Source organism: Homo sapiens, chromosome 11 (genome assembly GCF_000001405.40).
Source record: "Homo sapiens chromosome 11, GRCh38.p14 Primary Assembly".
Taxonomy (NCBI): domain Eukaryota; kingdom Metazoa; phylum Chordata; class Mammalia; order Primates; family Hominidae; genus Homo; species Homo sapiens.
In genome coordinates, this window is record NC_000011.10 from 88,651,105 (window position 1) to 88,679,095 (window position 27,991).

Genomic DNA, 27,991 nt, shown 5'->3' on the forward strand with positions numbered 1-27,991 from the left:
AGAGAGCTACAGCAGCAAGGTCAAGGGAGGATTTTACAGAACGGTTTCCATAGAAATAATATTTTCATGGAAATCAAGTAAAGTTTTCAAGGCTGTATTTAAGCAGGACTTCCAGGAAATAAAGAGTCAGAGAAACAAATAACTATTTTCAAGAGGAGGCATTTCAGACCAAAAAACAGTGGGAAAAGAAGAAATTAATAAAGAAAGAGGGTGCAGGCCAACTGGAAAAATTCCCTTAAATATACCGGTTAGTGTTGTCACTAATTCCTCATAAAGAGGAACTAAAGATGAAATCAGAGCTACTGCTTACCTTTCAGAACTCCTTCAATGAAGCTACACATAGTAATAATTATACAAACATAGAATAGACCACAGAAGGACATATGATCCCCAAATCTCAAGAGAGAAAAGAAATCTGTTGTCTTCAGAAACTAGATAGAACTGTTAAAATATGACATTAGCTACAAATTTGAAATTGTGAGCCATAAGTGACAGTGCTATTGTTTCTCACGTATTTTGCCATAAAAAATGAAAGCAAAGGAAATGCGTAAGCATTTGAGGATTTGGTCAGAGTTACAAGGATCTGAAGTGGGAGAGAAGCAAACATACTCTCACACTATGTTGCAATGATTTCTGGATTTCATTGATGGGTGTATTATCCCACACTCCAGCATTCCTCCCTTCCCCTTCTACCCAAATAGGAACTGATATGAGATTGCTGGGTTCTTGTTTTATGAAGCAATTACATTTAAAAACAATCACAAACCACCATTGACTATCTCCATCATTTCCCAAAAGAACAAACTGATACCAGAAACACAGGATGAACATGACCTCAGAGGGGGAAATCTTTATGAATAGCTCACTAAATTGTTTCTGTTTTTATCATTTTATTGCTGGTATGTGACAACCTCTTTGTGGACTAGAATTGGGTAATGGACCAGGATTTCAAGCCCACTGCCCCACTGAATTCTGGTGTTCCAGCACCATGGGTAAAGGCATCTATACCACCAACTAACAAAAACTTATCAGAGCAAGTATTTACTCTAGTAAGATTTTAGATAATTTATTACTATTTATATCATTCAAAAATTTGAACAATGTTTCATGTTCAATTTGCATTTTCCTGCAATGCAAATGCATATGGGTTTCTTATAACACAATGTAGGATAAGTCAGTTCCAAAAAAAAATCCTTTGTCAATTTTTACAAACTTTAACCTTTGCAGGCACAGATATTTGATAGACAGATGATATAGATAGATAAAGTATATGCTGGCTCTACCTGGTTATTAGAATCAAGATTCTTTTTGGACATGTTACAAATAATATTAACCCAAGCTCTTATTTTAAACACTTAGTTATCATATCACTTATAATTTTCAATTGCAATTTTTGTTGGCATTACTATCTCCCTTCCAAGATAGTAAACCTTTGAGGGCAGGAACTAGCTTTCTCCATCTTGGTATCCTTACAACTAAAGCAAAATTTGGTACATTCTTAGCATCTTATAAGTATTTGTTGAATGCTTGAATGAATGGCTCTACATAGGTTACGTTTCCTGAAACATCACAATTTTATATAGCAAATCCCTGGTACTATTTTATGGTTTATTGATGGAAGTAGCAACTCGATCTGTCCTTCAACACTCATGTATTCATTCTTTGTACATATATGAAACCGTTACTATGTGCTTCCACTGTGCTAACTACTCTGGATAATAGAAATGAGCAGAATGCAGTCACTGCATTCAAGGATGTCAGAAATAGTTCCATTCTGGAGCTCATGTGATGTTTTTAGCACAATGCCTTATGGAAATACATTCAATTTTTTGAATGATACAAATAGAAATGATCTAATCACATAAAATATCACTAAATACTTGCTCTGATATGTTTTTCCTAATGAGACTAAAACCTGTTTATCACCATAAGTGGCAATATCCACTCTACTTATGTAAGAGTCCTCCCTTGTAACATATTACAGCCACTATCCCCATGACATGGTTTACTTAAATTGGAACCTTAGCCTTATGCATTTTAAATGAAATAATAAATCTGCTTACTATTGCAAGTCTTGTTGTATTTGCTGTTCTCCTGTGGAAACCCTTCCAGTCGGCACTGAAAACGATGCTGCCAAAATTCTTGAAACCAAGGGTTTCGGTGGTTTGTTTCTGGCCGGAGCTTCAGATAATAATCATCAAACCACTTGACATCGGGAGATTGGAGCTTGATTGTGATGCCACCAACAGCTTCTCGCTGATATCCATCTGTCACATCATACCTGTCAGCCCAGCCATCACTGTGGGGAAATAAAAAAACCCTCAGCTTAGAACAGATATCTCCTAAGCAAATGAGTCCATTTGCTTTCCTTTTGACAAGATTAGTCATTAAATGGCTACCTCAGGCCCCATGATGGTCCTATATTACACCGACATGATTATTGATATAGAAGCTTGTTAGAATAAAAAGTGCAATAACACCATGGAAATTTTGGGCCTAAGAGTGCTAAAAGGCACTAACCTCACTTACCTTAAACTGCAGAAAATAACCTGGAGATTCTGGCACAATTTTACTGGCTGCAAAATATAGTATATACATGGAAGCTGCATAATATCATCATTCACATTTTTAATGGACATTTAATAGCCAGGTAAAGTTAACTTTAAATACATTATTTTCTTTGGCTTTATAATAATAATTATAATGATCATAAAATAAGAATTAAAAATATTCTCCAACATACCTAATATTAATTTAATCATCCTGTGACACAACATTTTTGATCAAATTTTACAAATGAATAATAGGTTTAAAAAACCGTTTGCCGATTATGGTTACTCTATTCAATGTTGATTTCCCAAGCCTCGAACTGAAATCTTTGTAGTCCATAGTCCATACACTATTTTCTATCCCATGGAATCTCTAAAATACATTAAAAATGTACATCTGAAATCACATTTTATATTAGAGTGCCCAAAAGAACTTCTGAACAATGTGCCATCAAAAGTGGTGAAGGGATCATACTCCTCAACATAACTATCATTCTATGCACTGCTCACTCAAAGTTATTTAGGAATTTTAAGATAAAAGTTTTTGAAATCAGAGGGCTCATAATATAATGCTAGAGGAGAGTATAACAGAATAAGAAAAAGTAAAGTCTTCTACAATGATTTGGAAAATACATGAAACATTGTATTGGAAATAAAAATAAAAGGCATGAAAAGATGTTTGTATACAATTTGGGTACACCCTAGGGCATCTAAGGAAGAAGGAAAGTGACTTGTCCCTCTTCACTGCCATTGGTATATACACAGTTTGTGCTGTATATCTGCTGGAACCCAGTGGTACTGTCTTTCCCTGGAAGAAGTGCAAGTGCTTGTAAAGGAAGTATGGGGAAAGGGAAAATTTGACTAAATTACAAGTAACCTCAAAGAGAGAAGAGAAGGAATATAGAGAGATTTAAGGGGAAGAACAGACTAGAGCCTCCTAAATGCAAAGCAGGAAAAAGTGTTAGGAGGTGAGCTGGGAGTAGGGGCAGTGGGTAGTGGGGAGAGGACGTGGGAAGAGATTTACACTACCAATCACTGCTTACCTCGGTGATATTCAAATATTTCCATTTAACAGAATGTTAATTTATTTTTACTTTCCTTTCAATGCATTTTTGCCCTTAACATTTTTTTTTCTATGCAGAAAGCATGGTCCAATATTTTGCATAAAAAATCAGTGCCGAGAAAGTATTATGTAAGTAATTAATTTAAATTATACAGAAAGCATGCACTTTTTTCAGTATGCAGTGCTGTGCCAACTTTGATATAAATATTGATAATTGGGAGTTATTCCAAATGTCATATATTACTTATTAAGATATCATAAGGGCTTGAGATGACTTGAGATATTAGCTAGGGCATCAGTGGGTGGAGAGAAGGGAAAAAATAAACAGAAAGAACACTGTTTTTCTCTAAGTCCTCCATGACAAAAAGATATTAAAAATTACCTATAGTGAAATTTCAAAAACTTTTGTGGCAGATCAAGACAAAAATATAGTAATGTAGTATGTTTTGTCCCAATGTTGAATTTGGTTACTTCACACATTATCTTCCCTCAAGTTTCCCATTTTCAGCTCCAGAAGATTTTATTTAAAGCTGACAAGTTGAAATGAAGTGGGCTTGTTTGCCTCATTTTCTCCTCTGTTTTGGAGGGTTTATTATATCACTGAGATGAGAGTGTGGGTCTCATTGGCACTCGAGGAGCAGCATGGGCGTGTTGCAAATGGGACAGGAAGCTCTGTTTGTTCAAGCAGAGACCCATTCTCCAAGGAAGTGGGAATTTAAATTGCTCCTTTTGTTAACATTAGCTCGCTCTTATGTAACACTATGATTATGAATATTACATAAGAAATGTAAGATTATAATGGCTCCAATTTACCCTTCACAGTTCATTCATTGAATTTAACAGGGATTGTAAAAAGTTTGTCTTGATAAACTTTTTTGCAGGTGATATTTCCATAAAAGAAAACTGTCAGGATGAGAGTGATAATTTACTGATCTCTCATCATGTACTTTCTCTGTTTTTTTTTTTTTTGAGGTATATATCTTTTCTGTAAGTTTAATAACTTAGAAAACTATGATGTTTTATTATTAGCCTTATAAGTTAGAGTTGTGAGTTTAAAATAATTTTTGTTTCAGATGTTTCCAATTAACAGCACAATATAAATCATAAAGGAGATAGTGTGTAAACAGAAAATCCCAATATCTATGTGACAAAACAGGGTCATTCTATTTAAATTTTTGGATAATATCTGCTATGTTAATCCCAAAAAAGACAACACTGGCTAAATTAGAGGGTGCTGTATTGACTTTAGCTTATTAAACATTAACATTTTTATATAAATATGCTTTTAAGATTTGCATTAAGATGATAGGGCATCTTTAAGTATGATGCAATAAATTCAGCAGTAAAATGAAATGCTAAGAAAAAACCTTTCTGCCACCTAATGCTTTCTATTACTTTGATAGAGTGGACCTTCAATTTAATTTTTTGGGTGACACGTATTTTACCAAAGCAAGAGAAAACAAACGGATAAAGATGGGGAAGGAAACTAACATTTGCTAAAAGTCTACCACATTTAAGGCACTTTACTAGATTTATTATTTATCCATCCATCCAATTTCTCCCTCTTCTCACTGGTGGGCATTTTGCCCAACTCCTCATAATCCATTTTATTCTTTTCCGTTGTTTGGATTTACAGTTGATCATCATTATTTACAGATTCTGCATTTACAAATTTAGCTACTTGCTGAAGTTTATTTGCAATACCAGAATCAATATTGGTGGCATTTTTGCAGTCATTCATGGGCATGCAGAGAGTGGTACACATTTGAGACTACTGAAGTTCATGTCCCCATCTGAGGTTGAAAAAGGTGACTCTGCTTTCTTGTTTCAGTTTTCATACTACAAACTTACAGTATCTATTTAGCGCCATCTTTTGCATGTTCGTGTTTTTTATTGGTGATTTCAGTGTTTAACTTGGCCTCCAAGAATAAAGCTGATGTGTTATCTAGTGTTTCTAAGCACAAGATGGCTGTAATATACATAGAAAATACAGTCAGCCCTTCATAACTGTGGGTTCCATATTCACAGATTTCATCAATAATTAATTGAAAATATTTGGAAAAATAATAATACAAATAAAAAACAAGACAGTATAATGACTATTTATATAACATGTATGTTATATTAGGGATAATAATCTAGAGATGGTTTAAAGTATAATGGAGGATGTGTACAGGTTACATGTGAAAACTAAGCTACCTGGTATAAGAGACCTGAGCATCTTTAGATTTTGGTATTGGTGGGATGAGAGGAGGAAGTGTCCTGGAGCCAATGCTCTGCAAATATCAAGGGACTAGGGATAACTGTATATAGACAATACATATGTTAAATAAGTTGCATGAATAAAGTGCTGTTGCTGCAAGTTCAATGTTAGTGAGTCAACAATTTATATTAACTAAGATGTCTTTAAACAAGAACACACATAAAACAAGGTTATGTTTTGACTAGTTGATGAACACGTTGTGACTAAAGGCTCACAGCAACCTAAGCTTGTATTTCCTCCAGGAGTAATGGTCATTATTCACTAATTTACTGTTTGCTGCATGTTTATAGAACATTACTGTGAATGATAAGAATTGGCTGTAATTACATATAGTCTTAATCTGGATGTTGTTTTAGTCAGGTTTGTAGCCTTTCTTTGGCTGTGGAATCAGAGTAACTTGGACATTTAAAATAGAAAAATCATTCTTAACTTACTTAGCTTGGCTTAACTAAAGGAGGATTCTTTATACATATGTACTGGATTCTCAAAACACCTCACTAGCAGATACTTAGATCCTTTAAATATTCCCTGCAGACATCTTAAGGACATGCTAATCTACAGAGAATTTACTTTCACTTTCTTCCCAAGATTGCATTACCAAAAATATACTCTCTTTCTCTACAATCTACTCTTCCCCTTTCTCCTTTCAACTCTAATTCCTATGATTTCTCATAAAGAGAAACTCATGAAAGCTTAATTTTTCTTTCTTTTCAACAGACAGTTCTTGTTTAAAACAAAATTGACTCTTGAATTACCCTGCTATTTTTTTTCCTAGGTCTCTATAACCTTCCTTCTTTTCTTCAACATTTATTAAATATCTACCCATCTTAGACTAAATTATTTTGTCACAATCAATAGTCCCAGTATCTCACTGGTATAGAACAGAAGTTTATTTCAGCCTTTATATTCACTGCAGATGGCCTATAACTCTGTTCTATGTCATCTTCATTTTGAGTTTGAAGTCTAAAAGAATAGTCTGTTTCTGGGACATACCAATCTTGTAGAGCAGGAGTCCCCAAACCCCAGGTTTCAGACCAGTACCTGTCCGTGTCCTGTTCGGAACCTGGCTGCACAGCAGGAGGTGAGCCCTGGGTGAGTGAGCATTACCTCCTGAGCTCTGTCACCTGTTAGATCTAATGCAGAGGCATTAGATTCTCATAGGATGGTGAATCCTATCGTGAACTGTACACGTGAGGGAGCTAGGTCGTGCGCTTCTTATGAGATGGAACAGTTTCATCCATGAAACCAGTCCCTGGTGCCAAAAACGTTGGGGACCGCTGTTGTAGAAGGAAAAACAGATGATAGGGGAATCATACAATGGTTCTTAAGATTCTGCTTAAAAGTGGCACATGTTATTTCTGCTCACGTTTCACTGACTGAACAAATCACATGGCTAAACCTGACCTGAATGGGACAGGCATCCATGGTTTTTCCCACGGAGAGGAGCAGTGTATATTTTGAAGAAAATGCAATTGACAGCATCACTGTGTGTTGAAATTGTATTGAAACTGAGAAAAAACATGAGTTAAATAGGGTTTAGAGACTCTGCTCCAGCAGTTCACAAGTCTAGTGGAGGGATGAGAAAGGAGGACAGATATAAATAAGTAACCACATACAAATGATTATTATGGGCATGTCCTAAATGCAGTGGGAGAGCAGATCAATAAATAATTGACCAACACTTCTTAGGGAGATAAGAGTTGAACTAAGTTTGAAAAGTATGGATAATAGAGTGATACCAGCATTTTGAAATATTGTTTTCTATATATTGAAAAAAATTGTTAATCAAGGAATAGTGAATATGGAGCATTGCAGCTATGTAGGGTGCACAGGTCAGAGAAGTAATGAGAGGGTGAGCTGAAGAGAATCAGTTGTGAGTGTTCTTTTGTGCCATCCTAAAGATTTCCAACTTTGTCATACAGGTAGTGGGGAACCAGTGATGGCTTTTAAAGTGGGAAATGATACAAAGACATGATGAGAAGTAGAGGAACTCTGCTAAAAGCTTACATGACAGATTAGAGCTGTCGGAGATGAAGGTTAGGGAATCAAGTTAGAAAATATGTTGCAATGGTCAAGGAAACCAATGGAGAATTGAATTAAGGGAGTGGCAGTAAGAATGAAGAGCCATATTTATAAGGAATCTTAATGTAGAACCTCCAAACTTGTGGGGCATAGAAGGTAAAGGAGCATTTTTAATGATTCGTGGGAGGAGAATAACAACATTGCATGTAGCTCCATGTCCTAGGCTGGACAGTATTGGAAAAGAACAGGTTTTTTGTGAAAAAGGAAGAAAATGAATATGAGTTGGGATCTGTGATGTTCAGATTTATCTTTATACGATCTCTCACATTTCTTTTTCTCCTGGATTTCTACATATTCTCTCCATATGCAACTGGCTTGAATGTTAAAAATGCAAGTTAACAATGTTCGTACCTGTGGTTCCAGTATGATATTAACCTACTCTGTTGTATTATTGTATGTATGTTTTTGTTTGCTGTGCAATAGCTGTTGGCATTCAAAAATATGAGAGAAAAATGGTAATTATACATCTGTAAAGATTTATACCTTACACCATTGTATGCTTATACTAAAAGTATTTTAACTTTATAATTATTTCTATCATTCATTATATTAAATTTATGAAATATAAAGCAGACCAATAGTTATAGTTATAAAATAATTATGATAGGACTTAACAACCAATAGGCAGAATATCACAATCTATTTTTGCTAGAATGTGAAACCTCCTGAGTGCTATATGCTAACAGGAATATATAAAAATAAATCTTAGACAATTACGAAGATAAAAGTCTAAGGATTATGGAATGTTAGGGCAGCGATGCCAAATAATTTAAAAATCTATCTCCCTTAATGAAATCTAAATCCATAAAATGCAGACAATATAATTTTTTCTTTCTTCATTTCCTATCCATATATGTTATAAGTTATTGCTATGGAAAACAGAAAAATACATGTAGCCCTGAAAATTGCATTGAGTGATCCTTTAGTAACAGTCTCAATGTTTTATTCATTTCAATTTATTAATTCACTAAACATTTGAATGCCTCCTCTGTGCCAGACACTGGTAGGTTCCAGGCCATGCCCTCAAGGAGTCAACAGTCCATTAGGCATGACCTGCCTGAATGGGCATTGCCAGCTTCCAGTCCATTGGGTTTTTCTCACTTATCCTTCAAATTAAACATTCCCTTTCCTTTTTACTCAATCTTTCCATAAACAGTAGAAATCATTAGATTTCCAGTCACTGAATTATCATTTACTGAAAATCACATTCCTTTCTTGCCTCCCTAAGATTATTCTCTGATCACCTCAATTAGTATTCTGGATATTTCCAAGTTCTTAATTCTTACATTTATAATCTCTTGATTTATTTATATGGAAGACTAATTATATACAATGGGCATGGATTTTCACTAGTTGAACTCTCAAATGGCAACATGGTTATTTATTAATACTACAACTCCATGGAGATTTTAGGAAGGCATCCCATGGTGCTACCTGCCATAGGCAAACAACATAAGTACATTCTGTACCCAAAGGAGCAATACCAATCTAAAAATGTTGGAATCTGAATGAATATTCCTAGAAGTTAGTGGTCATTAAACTTGTGTCAGGAAATATAACTATGTGTGGGGCATGCTAGGGCCACACAGTTATTCTTGCCCACTGAAATCATTAGTTATGCTTATCATGATGAAACTGGTACTGCTGAGACGAACCTCACACATCCTGTTGATCGGAGACATAGAACATTGATTCTTATTCCTTAGATATGTTAATAGTTTCACACTCCTAAGCCTTTGGGTGTGCTATTCCCTCTGCACAGAGTGCCATTCTTTTAACTTCTCACATGTTTTCTGATTTGATAAAATGTAATTCATCAAGCAGACAGATTTAGCTTGAATGCAACTTATCAAAAAGCTCCTCTGGGCTTAATGGTTCCTTCTGCTCTGCTTCTAAAATACAGTGACATTCATTGCTTTATTCACTGAACAAGTATTGTGTAACTAATATTCTAAATATGTGGATATAGTGGTGAACAAGGAAGGCAAGATTTCTGCTCTCATAGAGGTAACATGATGCTTTTAGTTTTGCAATTGTCATTGTATTAAAGATAGCTACATTTATTTTTGCTTCCCCAAAGTAGACTACAAATTTTATACTTTGCACATCTTTGTATCCTTAATGCTTGTTATAATGCTCAGTACATACCAAATACTCAAGAAATGTTTAATGTAACTTGTTTAAAAATTAGGTTTTAAAAGGAAAACTTCAAATAACACAGATTTCTTTTCAGATAACTACATCTACTCATTTGTTAATTGAGAAAATAACACTGTCAAATGTGCCTTATAAATGACTCTGAAAGGCTGAGTTGATTCCCCCGTGCAGAATGGTCCTCTTGTTATCTACCTGATGTTATTAAGGTTAATGAATGTATTCATTAGGCTGCATCTCAGTATTTTTTTTTTCAAAATCTGTTTGCAACCCACATAATTATTATGGAAACTGCTGTTCTACCCACATGTAATCATCATCCTGCCAAATCTCTTACTAATAGATTTTAACAGATATTTTGGGATTTTAAAAAATTCTAATAGTGGGAGTCTACGGACTACTTGGCTGTTTTCACATAATATTGCTCCGTGCACCCCAGGAGGAGTAGGAAGTCTCAAATCTCTACACACTAGTGAAAAGCAAGGAAAAATATTGAGACTCTATTTTATTTTATTTTATTTATTTTTTAGATACAGTCTCAGTATGTTGCCCAGGATGGATTCAAACTCCTGGGCTCAGCCTCTGGAGTAGCTAGGACTACAGGCCTTTGCAACTGTGCCTGGCTTTGAAATTTTAAATTAAGGTTCTTATGAATATACCCCAGCCAACACTAATGAATTAATTCCAAAAAGAATCAAAATTTAGAATTGTTCAGAAAAAGATAATGTTATCAACTGAAAATCAACTTATTTCTGAGGTGTATAAATCTCAATATTTCTCATTTCAAAGGATTCATAAAAAGTAAGTAGAGGTAGATTGGAGGAGTGATATCAGAACATTCAAAAGAAGGGAAAAAGTCAGGAACTTGAAATTTGCCACCTGTATATCATAAGATAATTTCCACTGTATGACTTTTTCTAAAGTTCTGCAGGCCTTAGAGATAATTATTAGCCCTAGTTTTTACATCTGAGGAAACTGGAGGATTAACTAGCCTTATAACTGAGGAAATCTGAGGGATTAAATAACCTACTCAAAACCCCATGACAAATGTAGAGGGGATATAAACTCAGATCTTGCTAATTCTAAAACTCCAGCACATTTCATACTTCATAAACCTGCTAAGTAATGACATACAGTAATGACAGCAGAGAACTGTGTCTTGATGAATTTTATTTAAGAGACATGTATTGGAAAACAGGGATCAGATTGTATATTGAAAATGTGTAGGTAAGATTCTAAAATGGCATCCAAGATCTCTGATCTTTGGGGTATACACACCTCTCTTAGTTATTCAATCAAACACTCATCTAGATAAGTGCTTCTCTGGAAGGATTTTAAAGATGTATTTTAGGTTCCAAACAAGCTGACTTTAAAATAGGGATACTACCCTCTATAAATCTGATCTAACTAGGTGAGTCCTAAAAGGGACTGGTGATTTCTGATTTAAAAAAAAGATTCAAATGAGGGGGACTTGACATGAGAGAGCTAGAGGAGAATCTCCGTTGTTGGCTTTCCTGATGGAGGGAGCTACAGGGAAAGGAATGCAGGTGGTCTCTCAGAAATGAGTATGGCCTCCAGCAAACAACCAGCACCAGAATGGAGACTCAAGCCTACACCCACAGACCACCAAATTCAGCCAAAAACTTGAATATATTTGGAAGCAGATTCTTCCAGAAAGCCTCCAAAAAGAAATGCAGTTCGCCAATACCCTGACTACAGCCTGTCTGACCCTGAGCAGAGAACCCAGTTGCCATACCCAGACTCCTGACATCCAGAAAGTATGAAATAATACACGCATTTTTCTTTAAGCTTCTAATTTTGTTATAATTTGTTACACAGCAATATGAAGTTAATACTCACTTCCCAACTCTATTCTGCATTTCTTCACTTGGAAGGCCAATGCCTGTTAATATTTGAAGAGATAAAATCTTAGGCGGTCTGACCTAATTCTGGGTGTGGTCAGTATAGACTGACTTACAAAGACGTGGGGATTACAGGAAATAACAGATAGTAAGAAAAACCTATTAGAATAGTTGGAATATCCATCCTGTCTTGATTTTGGTCCTAGGATGGCAGGCATTATCTCCTCTGGTTTAATGTCTTGTGGCTCCAGGGATGCTTCCACGTCATATGCATGCTTTAAATAGGAGAGGCTGATAAATATCTTTATAAATAGATTGATTACATTGTGTGTTACCCAATCTTTTGTTTCTCTCATCATATTATAGCCATTTGGAGAAATGCAAAAATTGAGGCTATTGTATAAAATGTGCAACAATTTAGTAAGCAAAATGATCCATTTCAACAGAGAAAACACTTTGAATGAGCTATTGTATCCATAGCTTTATATAACCTTGTCTGTTTTTTCATGAAGTTTCCTTTCTTAGGATGATCTTCCAGTTTTCATGCTATAATCCCTTCTTCCACTGAATTGGACTAATTCCTTCTGTTAAGCTTGTAAATTTTTATCAGTGGGACTAGTGCTTAGAGTTTCCTGTTACATGACTGTGCTGGGATAACACCTTTTCAAAAATATTTCTCCTCTTCTTAATTGCCTCTTTTATGAAGGCCAAACAGCCTCTGAGAGCACAATCAAGGTGATTGCACGGTGCTAAGTGCAATATTAAATCAGTAATTTTTTTATTGAACACCTAAGCAATAAGACAGGCTTCAAGAGGATATCAATGAATATAAACCTCACCTCCCAGTTTGTTTTATTTCTTTTTATATCATAACAGGTCACTAGGGACTTCATAATTTCAAATCTATATTTTCCTCATACTTTCCTCAAACTTCCTGCATTATTTAACATTACTGATTCATTTAGTAAAATCTAACAAGTAACATTGTACTTGCTAAGTTCTCTGCAGAGTGCTGCATATGAGGAATAAAGAGAAGAAAAATTATCATTCCCTTCAACCTTAGAGTCAGGTAAATGAAAAAAATTACTTGAATGATAACTATGATAATGTATGTAGTGTTTTTTTCCTACCAAACATTGTCCTAAGCAATATATGCTTATGCCTATATTCTGCTAAATATTATATATACAGTTGGCCCTCCATATCCCTGGGTTCTACATGTGTGGAATCAATCAACCCAGATTTAAAAAAAACTGGAAAAAAAATGGATGGTTGTGTCTGTACTGAACATGTACAGACTTTTTTTCCCTTGTCATTATTCCCTAAACAATAGAGTATGGCAACTATTCACATAGCATTTTCTTTTCTTTTTTCTTTTTTTTAAAGATAGAATCTTAAAAATCTTGCTGCCCAGGCTGGAATGCAATGGCATGATCTTGGCTCACTGCAACTTCCGCCTCCTGGGTTCAAGCAATTCTCCTGCCTCAGCCTCCTCAGTAGCAGGGACTACGGGTGTGCACCACCATGCCCGGCTAATTTTTGTATTTTTAGTTGTGACGGGGTTTCACCATGTTGGCCAGGCTGGTCTCGAACTCCTGACCTCAGGTGATCCACCTGCCTCGGCCTCCCAAAGTGCTGGGATTACAGGTGTGAGCCACAGTGCCCAGCCTCACATAGCATTTTCATTGTATTAGGTATTATAAGTAATTTAGGGATTATTTAAAGTATATAAGAATATGTATATACTATATGATAATGATTTGAGCTATTATAAAAGTGACTTGAGCAACCACGAATTTTAGAATCCACTGAGGGTCTTAGAATCAATCCCCCACAGATACTAAGGAAAGACTATATGTATGAAACTGAAGTACATAATTTTACATGTTCACATTCCACATGAGGCAACTGTAGCTTGCAAAGCAAGCAAATTGCCCAGGGTTGCACAATATTTAAACCCACTCTATCTAAATCTAGACATTAAAACTGAACTAGAACAATGTATTAAATGTGATCTTTAATACAAATCTGTGTCCAAAGGTATATACATAAAAATGTAGATAGAAGAGATAATTTAATTTATTTACACACACACACACACACACACACACACATCCCTCTTGGAATTTCTTTCTTTTTTTTCCTTCTACCTGAATCGTCAAATAGAGAACTGCCTTAAACCATTAAATTAATATTCTGATAAAATGTCTATTTCTGTATTGTTCAGTACCCTGTCATTGTTAGTAAGAGTCTCTCTAATAACATGGAAAAGACCAATTAGAAGATGCTTAAGAGACCTTGATTTCTGTACATAAACACAGAATGGGCTCATTTCCATTCACATTTCACTTTGAGGCAACATGTTTTTCCTGGACAAAATATCCCCACGACACTCAGAAACCTATTGTGAACTTCTCACATTTATTTAATATAGTTTCCAAATAAAACGTATAGGTATAGAGGAAGAGTAAATAATCAAAAATTACACTGGGATTCAGATTAAGTTTTAGAAATAATCATTGTACAAGAAGTGACACAAAATTCAAAACCTAAGTTCCTGAAAAATTTAGGTATCATATGCTCAATAACTAATCCAAGTAGACTTAAATTTTAAGTCACATAATAGAAACTGAACAGCTACTTCCACATTTTCCTGTGATAGATTAGGCAAGCCCTCCTCTGAAGACAACTAGAAAGGCTGAATATTTTTTTTTTAATTTGTTTAAGTTGTCAGAAAGCTATCTAGTCAGCCAGTACTGAGGGGGCCATGATCCAGGAGAAAAAAAAAAATGGACTGAAGAAAGACTTTCCCTTTGAAGTATGTGACAATTCATTGAAGTTGAACTCATTGATAAGAAGCTAAGAAGTTGGGACAGAAGCACCAGGTGAGCTTTGAACATTTTTGAGTTCTGGGCTAGTATTACATTTAAAATCTTATCAGTGAATATCTGGGAGGGAAAAGAAGCACAGATATCTGAAGCAGATATTATTTCCTCCCTTGAATTCTTTGCTAATTTGTAGGCATTTACTGAAAATGTCAGAAGTGGCTAAGAGATTGGACAGATGAGAAGAGCTTTAGGCAGTCATACTGAATTGAAGAAAAAAAGAATTGTAATTGTTCATTAGTCTATTTCCTGTTGTTTATAAGAGAATGCCCACAACTGGGTAATTTATAAAGAAAACAGGTTTATTCTATTTTTTATTCGGCAGGCTAAGAAGTTCAAGGGCATGCCTCTAGCTTCTGGTGAGGGCTTTTGTGCTGTATCACAACAAGGTGGAAAAGGAAGTGGACACATGCAAAGAGGGGAAACTTGAGAGGTGTTCTGACTTTATAATCACTCACTCTTCCAGGAACTAATCCATTCCCATGAGAATCAATCGAGTCTCTCAAGAGTGAGAACTCACTCAGGAGGAGAGAGGAGCAACAAGCCATTGATGAGGGATCTGCCCTCATAACCCAAACATCTCCCACTAGGCCCCACCTAACAACATCACAGGGGGGATCAAATTCCAGCCTGAGTTTTATTGAGAACAAACAAACCATTGCAGATAGTAACCACTTTGAGTTTTTATTTGGGATCATTACAGGCTATATTTTAGTTGTAAAGACAAACTGGAAAGTGATAGGCTCCAACAAAAATGGAAACTGCTTCAGATCCTCTCACTATCAAGCTAGCTTAAAATGGTCTTCCTCTCTTTTAACTGCTATAAACAAGCAACAGCAAATTCTCTCTGGATGAACATACAACCAGATGTAGCCTTAGATTACCTCTACAATTTTTATACATGTTGTCTATCATTTCAGTAGTAAATGGACAGACATATAAAGCATTAAAGAAAAAGAATGAAATGATTGAAAACCAGGAAAAACAGTCAATGAAATCAACCCCATCCCAATCATTAGAATCAATAGAGTGAATTTAAATACAAATATGAATAATATATTCAAGAGAATAGATGAAAAGTCAGAGAAGTAAGTTGAAAGCAGTAATTTTTTTAAAAAAGAGAAATTTAAGAAACTAAACATTTAAAAATTTAAGAACTCAATGGATGTGTCACCTTCAGCAGAATAAACACAACCAAAAATGAAGTTTAGAAAACTTAGAGGAATAGAATATATCCAGACTGAAACATGGAAAAACACAATTTTTGAATATAGAAAAGTATAAAATATGATGAAAACATCTAAGTCAGATAATTAGTTTTCCAGGGGGAGAAGAAAAAAGAGAATAGAGTAGAAATCATATTTGAAGAGATAATGATGGAGTATTTCCAAAACCAAATGTGCAACCAGCATGAAACCTACCAAAACACAGATTAATAAGTATGATGAATCCAAGCAAAATGAATATGAAGTAATTCACACTCAGGTTTATCATAGTAAAGCTGCTAAAAATGAAAGGCAAAGTTATTGAAAGTAAAATGCAGGAAGTGAGAAAAAGAAGCACATTAAACCCTCCAAAACTAGAGGTCATAGAAAAATAAAAATTTATGGAGAATTGCTTAAAAAAAGTATAGTAGAAAGAAAAAGTTAGGCCAGGCGCAGTGGCTCACGCCTGTAATCCCAGCACTTTGGGAGGCCAATGCAGGCAGATCACAAGGTCAGGAGTTCAAGACCACCCTGGCCAATATGGTGAAACACCGTCTCTACTTAAAAAACACAAAATTAGCTGTATGTGGTGGCAGGCGCCTGTAGTCCCAGCTACTTGGGAGGCTAAGACAGGAAAATCGCTTGAACCTGGTAGGCGGATGCTGCAGTGAGCCGAGATTGAGCTACTGCACTCCAGCATGGGCGACAGAGGGAGACTCTATCAAAAAAGAAAAAAAAAAGAAAAAAAATGTTAAAGTCAAAATTGATTCTTTGAAAAGACTAATAAAACTGATGAACATTTATGAACACTTGGCAACAATGAAAGAAATGAGAAATGCACAAGTTATACACTAAAAAGTAATTGTAAAAGGGCAGCCAAAAAGAATATTGTGAAATATGTTATGGAAATAAATTTGAAAATTTAGATAAAATAGAAAAATCCCTACATAAGTATTAAATTATGAAACAGAAACAAACATAAAACAGAATAATTTTATATCTCTTAAATCAGTGGAAGTTTATTTAAAACATCTGCAGAAACTCGCACACACACACACACACACAAAGACAGAATAATTTTATATCTCTTAAATCAGTGGAAGTTTATTTAAAACATCCCCAGAAACTCGCACACACACACACACACACACACACACACACACACACACACACAGAGTCTGGCCCACCAACTTCACTAACAAATTATTCTATACCTTTAGACGAGAAATAACACCAATACTCAACAATTTTTTTTCAAAAAAAAGCAAAGAGGAAAACTTCATTTTATAAGTCCAGAAAAACAGTAATATCTAAATATTAAAGTGATTTCAAAATAAAGACAAAATGTAGGCCAAACTCTTATAAATATCAATGAAAAATCTCAAATAACATATTAGGAAACTGTCCAGCAATGTATAGAAATGCCAATACTCATTCAAATTTGGTATACCCCAGGAATGAAAAATTATTATTGTTATTATTGTGGTAAAAACAGGTAACAAGAGGTCTGTCTTAACAAATTTTTCACTGTACAGTACAATATTGTTAACTATAAGCACAATATTGCACAGCAGATCATTAGAACTTATTCGTCTTGCAGAACTGAAACTTTGTATTTCTTGAATAGCAGCTCCCCATTTCCTTCATCCCCCCAACCCCTGGCAACCACAATTCAGTTTATGCTTTTATCAAGTTGACTGTTTTAGTCATCTAAGTTGAATCATGAAGTATTTGTTTTCCTGTGATTGGCAGACATTATGTTATTTCACTTAGCATAATGTTCTCACAGTTTATCCATAGCAAAGTGGTGCAACCACTATGGAAAACAGTATGTAGCTTCCTCAAAATATTAAAAATTGAATTGCCATATGATCCAATAATCCTATTTCTGGGTATTTATTTTGAAGAGATATATACACCCTCATGTTCATTGCAGCATTGTTCACAACAATCAAGATGTAGATACACCCTAAATGTTCACTAGTGGATGAATGGATAAAGAAAATGTGGTATATACATATATAATTATTTTAATTTTCGAAAGCTGGTCAGCTTAATTTACCACATTAACAACATAATGCCGTCAATAAATTAAAGAAAACGTGACAAATTCAACATCATTCTGATAAAATGACCTTGGCAACCTAGCTAAAAAAGATAACTTCCTTAATCTATGCCAGAGTCTTTACAGTGAAGATAACACAACAGTAAAATGTTGAAATATTTCTTCCTGATATCCAGCATAAGTAAAAGATGTCTTCACTCACTACTTTTTCCCAATATTTTATTGAAGGTTCTAGCAAGTTTAATAAGGAAAGAAAAGAAATAAAAAGGAGTAAACTGTCATTAGCCAAGAATAATGCAATTATTTACCTAGAAGATCTGAAATAATCTATAGATATACTACAGATACACTATTACAAATAACAAAGGAATTTAGAAAATTGGTGCATACTAGTTTGGCATACATAAATACATTTAATTTCTATATATCCAAAACAAATACAAATTAAAAATTTAAATATATTACTTAAAAACCACTTAATACAAAGAAATAAGCCTAAATAATATGTGCAAGATCTATTCATGCATGCAAGATAAATTATGGGAGATTTTACTTGATAAAGAGTTATACTGTATTCATAAATTGGATGAATGAATAATGTACAGTTAATTCTCTTAAAGTCGATTACAGATGGATTGTAATCTCAATCAATATTCCAGTGGGTTTTCCTTGGTGGGGTTTAGGTGGAGACGATATTTACAAGTAGGTTCTAAAATTTATAGGGAAATGTAAAAGTTCAAAAATAGCCATGATAACCTTAATAAAGAACAAAGTTTATTTGAAAAATGTAGTATTAGATATTAAGGTTTTAGAAAATTAGACATAATTTGTTGAAATTATGGGACCAATAGAACAGAGTCCCACATGCATACAGAGACTTAATTTCTAACAAAGGCAACACTGCAAAGAAGTAGGAAAAAATGTTCTAATAAAAAAGATTCTAGGTGAATCATATGTCTTTATGAAAAAAGAGTCTTGATACTTAATCCACACTGTTTACAAAAATCAAAATTCAAGATAGATTGTAGACCTAAATAGGAATGATAAAATAATAAATCTTCTTGATAATAATAAAAGGAGATATTTTCACCATAGAATAGGAAAGAGTTTTCAAAAAGGGCATAGACAGAACTATTAAAGTCAAAATTGTTAAAAGTATCTATAATATAACTAATAGCTTATTTTCATCGAAAGACACCACTAATTGAATAAAAATGTAGGCCACAAATTAGGAGAAGATCTTGTAGTGTGTGTGTATGTGTGTGTGTGTGTTGTGTATACAGATGACAGATACCAAAATGATAGCTAGATAGGCAAAAAGTCTGAAAACGACTCATATTTAAAGTATATGAATAATTTCTATAATTTAATATAAAAATAGAAAATCCTATAGAAAAGTAAGTGGTCAGGAAGCTTGAACACTTCACACCTCACAAAATATGATTTGAAATGACCAGTGAATGTTTTTAAAGTGGTTAACTTTAATCATTAGGAGAATACAAGCTAAAACCACTACGAATAGCACTACTCACAGACCAAAATGGCAAAAAGTTAAAAACGATCGACATAGTTCAGTATAAAATGGAAAGCAACTGCAATTCTCAATCATTGATTTTAAGAGCATAGGTTGGTACAACTGCATTGGAAAACTATTTGGCAATATCTCCTACAACTGAATATAAGCATACAATATAACCCAGCAATTCTGGCCCTAAGTATGTTTCTAACAGAAATGCTATTAAATACACACCAAAATGCATACAGAAGAATGTTCACTGACAGAGCAGGAGCATCGCCATCTTGGACAAGCCCCTCATTCTAAAGTTCACCTTAATAAAAAACCATCTAAATCCAAAGAGCATCAGCTTAGTGGGTAAGGTCAGCACGACCATAAACCAAAAATAACATCTCCAACAACAAGAAACATTCCAAAATCCTCCCCAAGCAGAGACATGCTAGACCCTAGATAACCCCAGTCCAGGCCAGAAAGATGTCTGCCCCAAGATAACCTCCCCTTCTCCCAGACAGATTCCAACTCTGCCATAAACTTCTCCACATACACAAATATTCCAAGCTTATAATAAGTTTGCTTACCCTAAAACCAATATATACTCTTAGTCTGTAAGAGAAAGTGCTCCTGACCAGGATCGTCCAAGAGCACCTCTCAGGTTTTGTCTAAAGTAAACCTGTCTTTAACTGCCAGCTGCATTTAGTGTTTGTTTCCTCTTTTTTCAACTCTTACATTCACAGTAGCACTATTTGAAATAGTCTCATTTTAATAACAACCAAAATGTTCATCACCAGTAGAAAGGATAATGAATTGCAGTTTATTTATATAATACAGTAGTAGACAGCAATGAAAATGAACAAACTACCGTTACATGAAGGAAAATGAATAATATAATAAACATAATACCAAGTTAAAGAAAATATACGGAAAGGAGAAGATTATACATATTCCACTTACATAAAATTTTGAAGAAGGCAATAACCCAGAATATTGGAAGTTAAAACATTGGTTCCTTTTGAAGAGTGTGTTAGACTTGGAATGAGCAAGCTGGAACGTTGGGACCTTGCTCACTGGAGCACTGGTAAAGTTTTATTTCTGGATCTGATTGGTGTTTAAATGGGCTTGTTAATTTCATGCAAATTCAATGTACTACACATCATGGTTTCTGTGCTCTTTTGGTTGTACATTATAATGCGTTAAAATATTTTTATTTAAACAGAAAACTTAAAATTTAATTTCTGATTAGTCAAGAAATTTATAATGCTGACTTGTAAAATTTCAGCAGCAAATTCTGCTTAAAGGAGATTCATCATTAATTCATTTCATTCTTAGGAGTCTTCAAATGCTCAGGCATCTTTAAGACTGTCTTGGAGTCCTTGGCCATCACTTTTTCAAAAATCCAGTGATATAATGATAAAACCGATTATAGCTAACATTAAGTTATATTATCCATATTTAGGCTTAAAAATTGAAATTTGTAATTCTTAGAAAATCCTTTTGGAATCTGAAAATAGTGGACCAAATTCAGTACAGTCCAAGTACATCAACATTTATTAAGTATCTACTATGTTCCAAGCCTAAGTCAAATTTGATGACAAACATATTATATCTGTCCTAAATCAAGCTTATACTCTGGTGGAAGACTTGAAGAAAGAAAGACTTGAAGAAGGAAAGACTACAGAAAAGTATAATTTAAATACAATTGAATAATATGTATAACAAAGACCTATACAAAATGAGACACGAGAAATTGGGCCCATGTCTTGAAGAAAAGTTATTTTATTTTTTATAAGTTGATATCTGGTCTCAAATCTAAAGTGTCAAAGAGCTGACAATTGGTGAAATGTACAAAAGTAAGGATAATTTTGAGAAAACTCTCTTGCTGAATACAGCAGAAATATTTTTACTCAAATGTGATAGGAGCAAACACTATGGTCCAGGAAACAAATGTTCAAAGTAAAATATAAAATTCTAGGCCATATTTATATAATACATAATAATTACAGCAATAATGTTATAAAAAGACATTGCTAATAACTGGAAAAACTGAAAGGTACTAAAAAGTAAAATGGACATGATTGAGACAGAATAAATCAATCAGCAAATACATATTAAGTGCCTGTTGTATGTGAAGCAGTTTATTATATGCTGAGGGTACAGTGGTAATCAAGACAGAGAAGTTACTGTATCGAGTCTTGAAGTTTTTGCAAAATTGTCAGATATAAAAATGGAGATGGCATTTGCAGCACTGCAAATATCATGAACAAAGGCAAAGAGGCATGAATCCACATTTTTTTATGTAAGGAAAATTCCAGCCACTTAATTTTCACAGAAATTTAAAATGTGAACATGACACAGTCTAATTTATACTATTTTATAGATGACTCTTATTTGCGAATGGATTTAAACGTTTTCCATTTTCAAGTACTTATTAGGAGGCCATTTCCATAAGTCAGGTGAGAAGTGATGATTTGAAACAAGGAAGTGATTATAGGATGGAAAATAAGGAACTGAAGTAAGAAATACTGTGTTTATGAGGACAAAGAGGCAGGGTTTTGTGACTAATATTCTATGGAGTATGAGGAAGGAAAACAAATCTAGAATGACACCGAATTTTCTGATTTGAGTGATTAGTAACATTTACTAAAGAGAAATACGTTTCTTGGGGAAGTTTAGTTTTAAACATGTTAACTTTGAAACGCTTGTGAAACAATCAAGTGAATGTCACAAATGCAGTTACACATATAATCTGAAATGTAGAGAAGTCTGGCCTGAGATATTTAATTCAGATATTATCAATAAATCTATATTTGGTAGAACTGGTAAAGGGAATGTGATCACCCAATGAGGATGCTGCATGTTATGAGCAATTGAGAAATTCATTTATTATAATTTTTTAGTCTGACAAAATTTCTTTTCTAGTTTGTATTGCCCCCAAATGGTTTAACTGTACTGGCTGTTCATACTTGAATGTCCAGTTAGAGCATAAGTCATATCTCAGACAGAAAGAGATAAAAATCTGTTTAGGGAGATGTATTGAGTAGAAAACATGAACCCAGGCTACAAGAGAAGCGTAGAGAAACAGGCAGTGCCAAATGGTTCATAGTTCAGTATCTGTAATTTCAGATCAGGGGATGTGACACTATTTTGAAAAAAAAAAAACAAACATACTCTAGAGTATAATTACCAAGCATTTCTGTTGTAGGTTGTGTTTGGAACAAGCAGATGTGAGGGTGAAGCTTAGACCTATATAGAGAGAAGCACTGAGAGGATTCAAACAAGTACGAGGGAAGAATCAACACATCTCATTTGTATGCTGGATCTAAGAAATGTCAGTGTCAGAGTAAAGTGAAGAATCATTCAGGGTTGTATTTAGGTGTGAGAGGGAGTGTTGGGAGTCACTGACCTTTGCTGCATTTGAGATGGTTGACTACTTTCTCCTGGAAAATCTCATCCCATGGCTTCTATAGTAACAAATTCTCCTAACACTCCTCTTGCCACCCTGTTTTCTTCCTCTCTATCCTCTAGGTGAGTCTCTCATCCTACAGGCCGAGTTTAGATATTTCCTAGAGATTTGTCTTTGAAATTTTTCTATTGCACTTTTGTATAGTTTCCCTTTTGGATTTTATCCTATGACTCCAATTACCATTTATATCTAATTACTTCTACATATCTATCTTTAGCCTTGTTATTCTTCCTGTGCTCTAGATTAAAATATTCAACACCTACTAGACAGCTTGCTCCAGAGGAACCTCCAATAAAACTGGCCTAAAATATCAGTACTGTTCATTTCACCAGTAGAAATTATTGCCCTTTCTGCCATATATCTCTAAAGGAATGCTACCATTGTTCCTCTAATTGTTCAAACAAGGATTATAGGTTTGGGGCAGTGTCACTCTTTCTCACCAGGAATCTGCTCCTTCCAGAGACAAAGTCATGATGATTCCATTGACTCAGTGTCTTGGGAAGCTATTTTTTTCCCTTGACTGTCTCAGTGATGGCTTTATTTTGAACCTTATTATCTCTCACTTGAATTAGGTGCTACTGTTCTCCCTTTGCTGTTATGAGTGAGATTTCTAAAACACAAATGTAATAATATTACATCTCTGCTTAAACATTTAAATTTGGCTCTCTTTGTCTTTAAATAAAGTCCAAACTCCTTGAGGAGGCACGTAAGATCCTTTATCCTGTAATTTCTCAGTAGTCTTTCTTTTCATTCCCCTTTTCTTTCTGTATGCCACATTACTGTAGGTGCCTGCAAGATATCACATTTTTTATTAATCATCCCTACTATGGTACCAATGTTCACTTCATGTTCACTTAGTCCAGTGCTTTTTGTTTTCATTTTCCTATATTCTGGCTGTTTTTCTAACCCCATTTCAGATGCCTTTTATTCTAAGTCTTCTGTGATCCTACATGTGGGAAAGAGCAGTTTTGTACTTTAAACACTGTGTGCTTAATTCTGCCTTAGCGTGAATGACATTGTAATTTTAATTGTTATGTGCTTCTCTTTTTCAAGACACTATTTCATTCCATTGTCCTAGCACTTCACTGGATTCATTGCTTGTCAATAAAGAAGGTGTCTTTAATATTGAGTAAATGGACGGAGTGAGGCAATTGTTAGAGAAGAAAGACTATTATAAGAAGAAAGAGAAAGATATGTCGGCAATTTAAATGAGTAAGGATCTTTGGAGGTTATGCTGAGGTTTAGGCTCAAGGAAGATATGAGCCTGTCTGCAAGAAAATTAGAGTATTTATGTCTTCAAGAAAATTAGAGTATTTTGGTTAACAAAATTTTGATATAGAAAACAACTTAGAACAACCCGAAGCTATATATAAGCAAATGGCAGTTATTATAATGTACGCATTCAGAGGAGTTGAACTGTAAGGTTATTTACAGGAATAAAAGTAGTGAGAGTAAGCTTTAAAGAAAAGACAAGACTTAAACTGAGTTTTCTCCCCAGTTAGTTACTCTGTTTGGACTTCCGTCACGTCATCCTAACCCAAAACCTTGGACTCGTTGTCCCATGTTTCTCACAGAGTCAAAGACGTGTAATAGGCATTCTGTAAATGTTTGTATAATCAGCAACAAGCAAGAATTGGGAGTCCAATGTGGCCATGTAGAAAGTTAAACACAGGATTGAATATGGAAGTACAGAAATAACAGATGGCCATATTGAGAGTCTAAGCATTCTCACACGTAAGAGAATCATAGTATTTGTAGAGTGATAAACATCCAATGCTGGGAACTGCAGCTCTGGTTCCATGAACTCTTGGATAAAAACCCTAAGGCTAGTTATAATAAAGAACTCAGCAAGGGGGATCATTAGGAAAGTCAAAGTATTTTATCCTTTAGGGAAGTTACCATCATTCTATAAAGATAATTTAATGTCTTGCATTTTATTATAACACTCTCAAACAATTCAGTTTATAATTCAGTGTTTTATTCCCCTGCTTGATTGATTTTTTAACCATGATTGATTGGAGCCCCACTCTCAGCACTTCCAGAGAAACTGAGTGAGTTGTAAAGTTCTTCAAAGGACATTATTTATTCAGTTTCACATGCATTATTTGTAAAGGTAACAAATATTTATTAGGCACCTATTATATGCCTATGCTATCATTTGAGATACAATGACAAGCTGTTCTTTATTCACCTCTACCTCCACCACCACCCCATACACACTTGAAGTTCCTTGGGGGCAGGAATTGTATATTGAATATATTTATATTCCAGTGCTTGGCAAATAGTAAACATTGAATAATTATTTATTAAATTAATGAATGACAATTTAAACATTATAAATACAATGATTTAAATATGCACAAGATGCTATAGAAACTATAAAATGAAGAATAATTACTTACTGCCTAGCACAATATATTTCAGAGAGATTTTCAATTGTGTTGATAAATTTTGGAATGAATAAGTGTATGAGACACCATGAATCCCTCAATTCAAATACTCCATTGTTTTCTAGATGCTATATAATGAAAATACTTTTAAAGTGAAAATTATAGTCTTGATAAGTTAATGCATCTTCAAAACTTGAAGTTAATTCATTTAAGTAACACATTTTTATGTAGCACTTACTGCGTGCAAGGCATTGCATTTAATGCTTGTGCTCAAATGGGGACAAGAAAAAGTCATTTTGTTGAAATAACTCGGTAATTCATCTGAATTTGTAGAACAGCTAATTATATGAGAAATAAAAATATAATCTCTTCTGATTACCTAAGTGCTTGAAAAAGTACTTGAAAACTGTGGAAGTATGGTTAGAGTAATAGGATGAAAGGTTGTATGGTAAATTAATTAAGAACTCTACACTTCTTTGATGGGCCACCTATAATTTCATATTTGTATTTATGTTAATGTCCAGTAAAGTTAATTTTACTATATTCATTTATGTGACTAGAAGATATATATACAACATGTAATAACTTTTATTCAGTTGTACATTTACAGCATTATCTAGAAGCCCTGACTTTTAATATAATGGGTAATGTTTTTCTTCCAATATTCACTCCTGTCCTCTCCTGTAGTAAATTCATATTTTAACTCTAGAGGGTCCAGACTTGTCTCTGTCAACCAGAGTAATTCTTCTCTTTGCTTTAGTTATTAGTTTAGGTAACCTTAGTCAAGCTGTTTAGCACTTAGATTTCTCTTAGCCTACTCAGAACATTTCCTGGGAATTGTGGGACACAGATATTCTCTTTCTCTCACTGGACAATAGCATATGAGGTTGTAAGGCTGGTGATTGCTACAGTGATTCTTCTACAAGAGAAATTAGCCCAAGAATGAAGTTGAAACATGGAGAATTACAAAGAAATGGAGCCAGAATCCTGATCACCCTATACCTTAAGCCTGACCACTTTGAACTTTTTAATTACATAAGCTAATAAATCCTCTTTAATGCTGAAACCAATCTACAATGAATTTTCCATTATTTACATCAATGACAAAAATATTAAATGTTATAAGGAGGTGTTAAATTGAGATGTGATTATCAATTTCTCATTAATCATTAGGCTGCATCTTTCCATTTGATTTGCTACATTAAACATTTAATTATAAGAAAGAGACATCTTATTGAATATTAGAAATTGGCAAGATTTTAGCTTGATAATGCATATTACCACAATACATGGAATGCTGTTACTATATTCAGATAATTAGTTACCAACAGTTGGGCTCCACACATTTAAAAATGTTGAAATTAATAGATAGTATTGAAAATTGACTTAAATTAAAATCACAATATATAAAGTGGAATTAAGATTACAAACGTGATGCATTTTTATTCATTTTTAATTTCTGAATTTTTTTTTTTTTAGAGACAGTGTCTTACTCTGTCTCCCCGGCTGGAGTACAGTAGCATAATCATAGCTCTCTGCAGCCTCAAACTGCTGGCCTTAAGTGATTCTCCCATTGCAGTCCCCAGAGTAGCTAGACCTTCAGAGGTGTGCCACCATGTTCAGCTAATTGTTAATTTTTTTGTAATGATGGGGTCTTTCTATGTTAGCCAGGCTCGTCTTGAACTCCTGGGCTCAAGTAATCCTCTTGCCTTGGCCTCCCGAAGCACTGGTATTATGGATGTGAGCCATGGTCCCCAGCCATGTTGCATTTTCAACTGCTCTAGTCCATCTTGAACTTCACCTTATTTGTCCATTATCTGGACCACACCATCTACATAATTACTTCTTTCATCTGCTCACCATCAGTACTCATTTTCAACCTTTCAACATAGGTTAGCAATTAGCTCATACTTTCTCCTCCATAATTTTCTCATTTATTCTTTCATCTCTTCAACTGCATTTATTTAGCATATCCTGTATGCCAGTCATTGAACTCAGGTACAAAATACCCACTGAATATAGCTTTGATGCCATAAGAGTTGAGAAAAATGCTAATACCAAATTTAAATGATATTTTTTCATTACAAATTGATGACCACAATGGAAAGAAATATAATGAAGAAACTGATTTTATCTACTCTGAGGCTACAAAGAATTCCATGAATAGTGAACATTTAATCTCAGATCCAAAGATGAGTGGTAATTAACTAGGTGAAGAAATATGCCAGTATTTATTAGCCAGGTAAATCAATATCCCAGGAAGAAAAAGTATCCCATTTGAAGCTCTGTGGTAAAAAGAAGCTTGACTCATTTAAAAAAAAAAAGTGAAAGAAGGCCAGTACAGTGAATGAGGAGGATAGTGGCAAAAGACAAACTCCACATCATATGGAAATCACAGGCCATTTTAAAGAGTTTAGTTTTCATCCGAAGTTCAATGAAAATACATGAAATGTAAATAGGCAATGAGAGGATCAGATTTATATTTTAGAAACAACTT

At 34.3% G+C, this 27,991-nt stretch overlaps 1 protein-coding gene across 4 annotated transcripts in view; it reads right to left on the minus strand.

Annotated features, from left to right (window-relative positions):
• The window catches only part of GRM5 (glutamate metabotropic receptor 5), a 561,341-nt gene that overhangs the window by 146,463 nt on the left and 386,887 nt on the right, over positions 1-27,991 (minus strand). For all 4 annotated transcript variants that reach the window (NM_001384268.1, NM_001143831.3, NM_000842.5 and 1 more), the window contains exon 4: positions 2,064-2,299. In NM_001384268.1, coding sequence (NP_001371197.1) covers positions 2,064-2,299 — 236 coding nt within the window. The remainder of the gene's footprint in view (positions 1-2,063; positions 2,300-27,991) is intronic.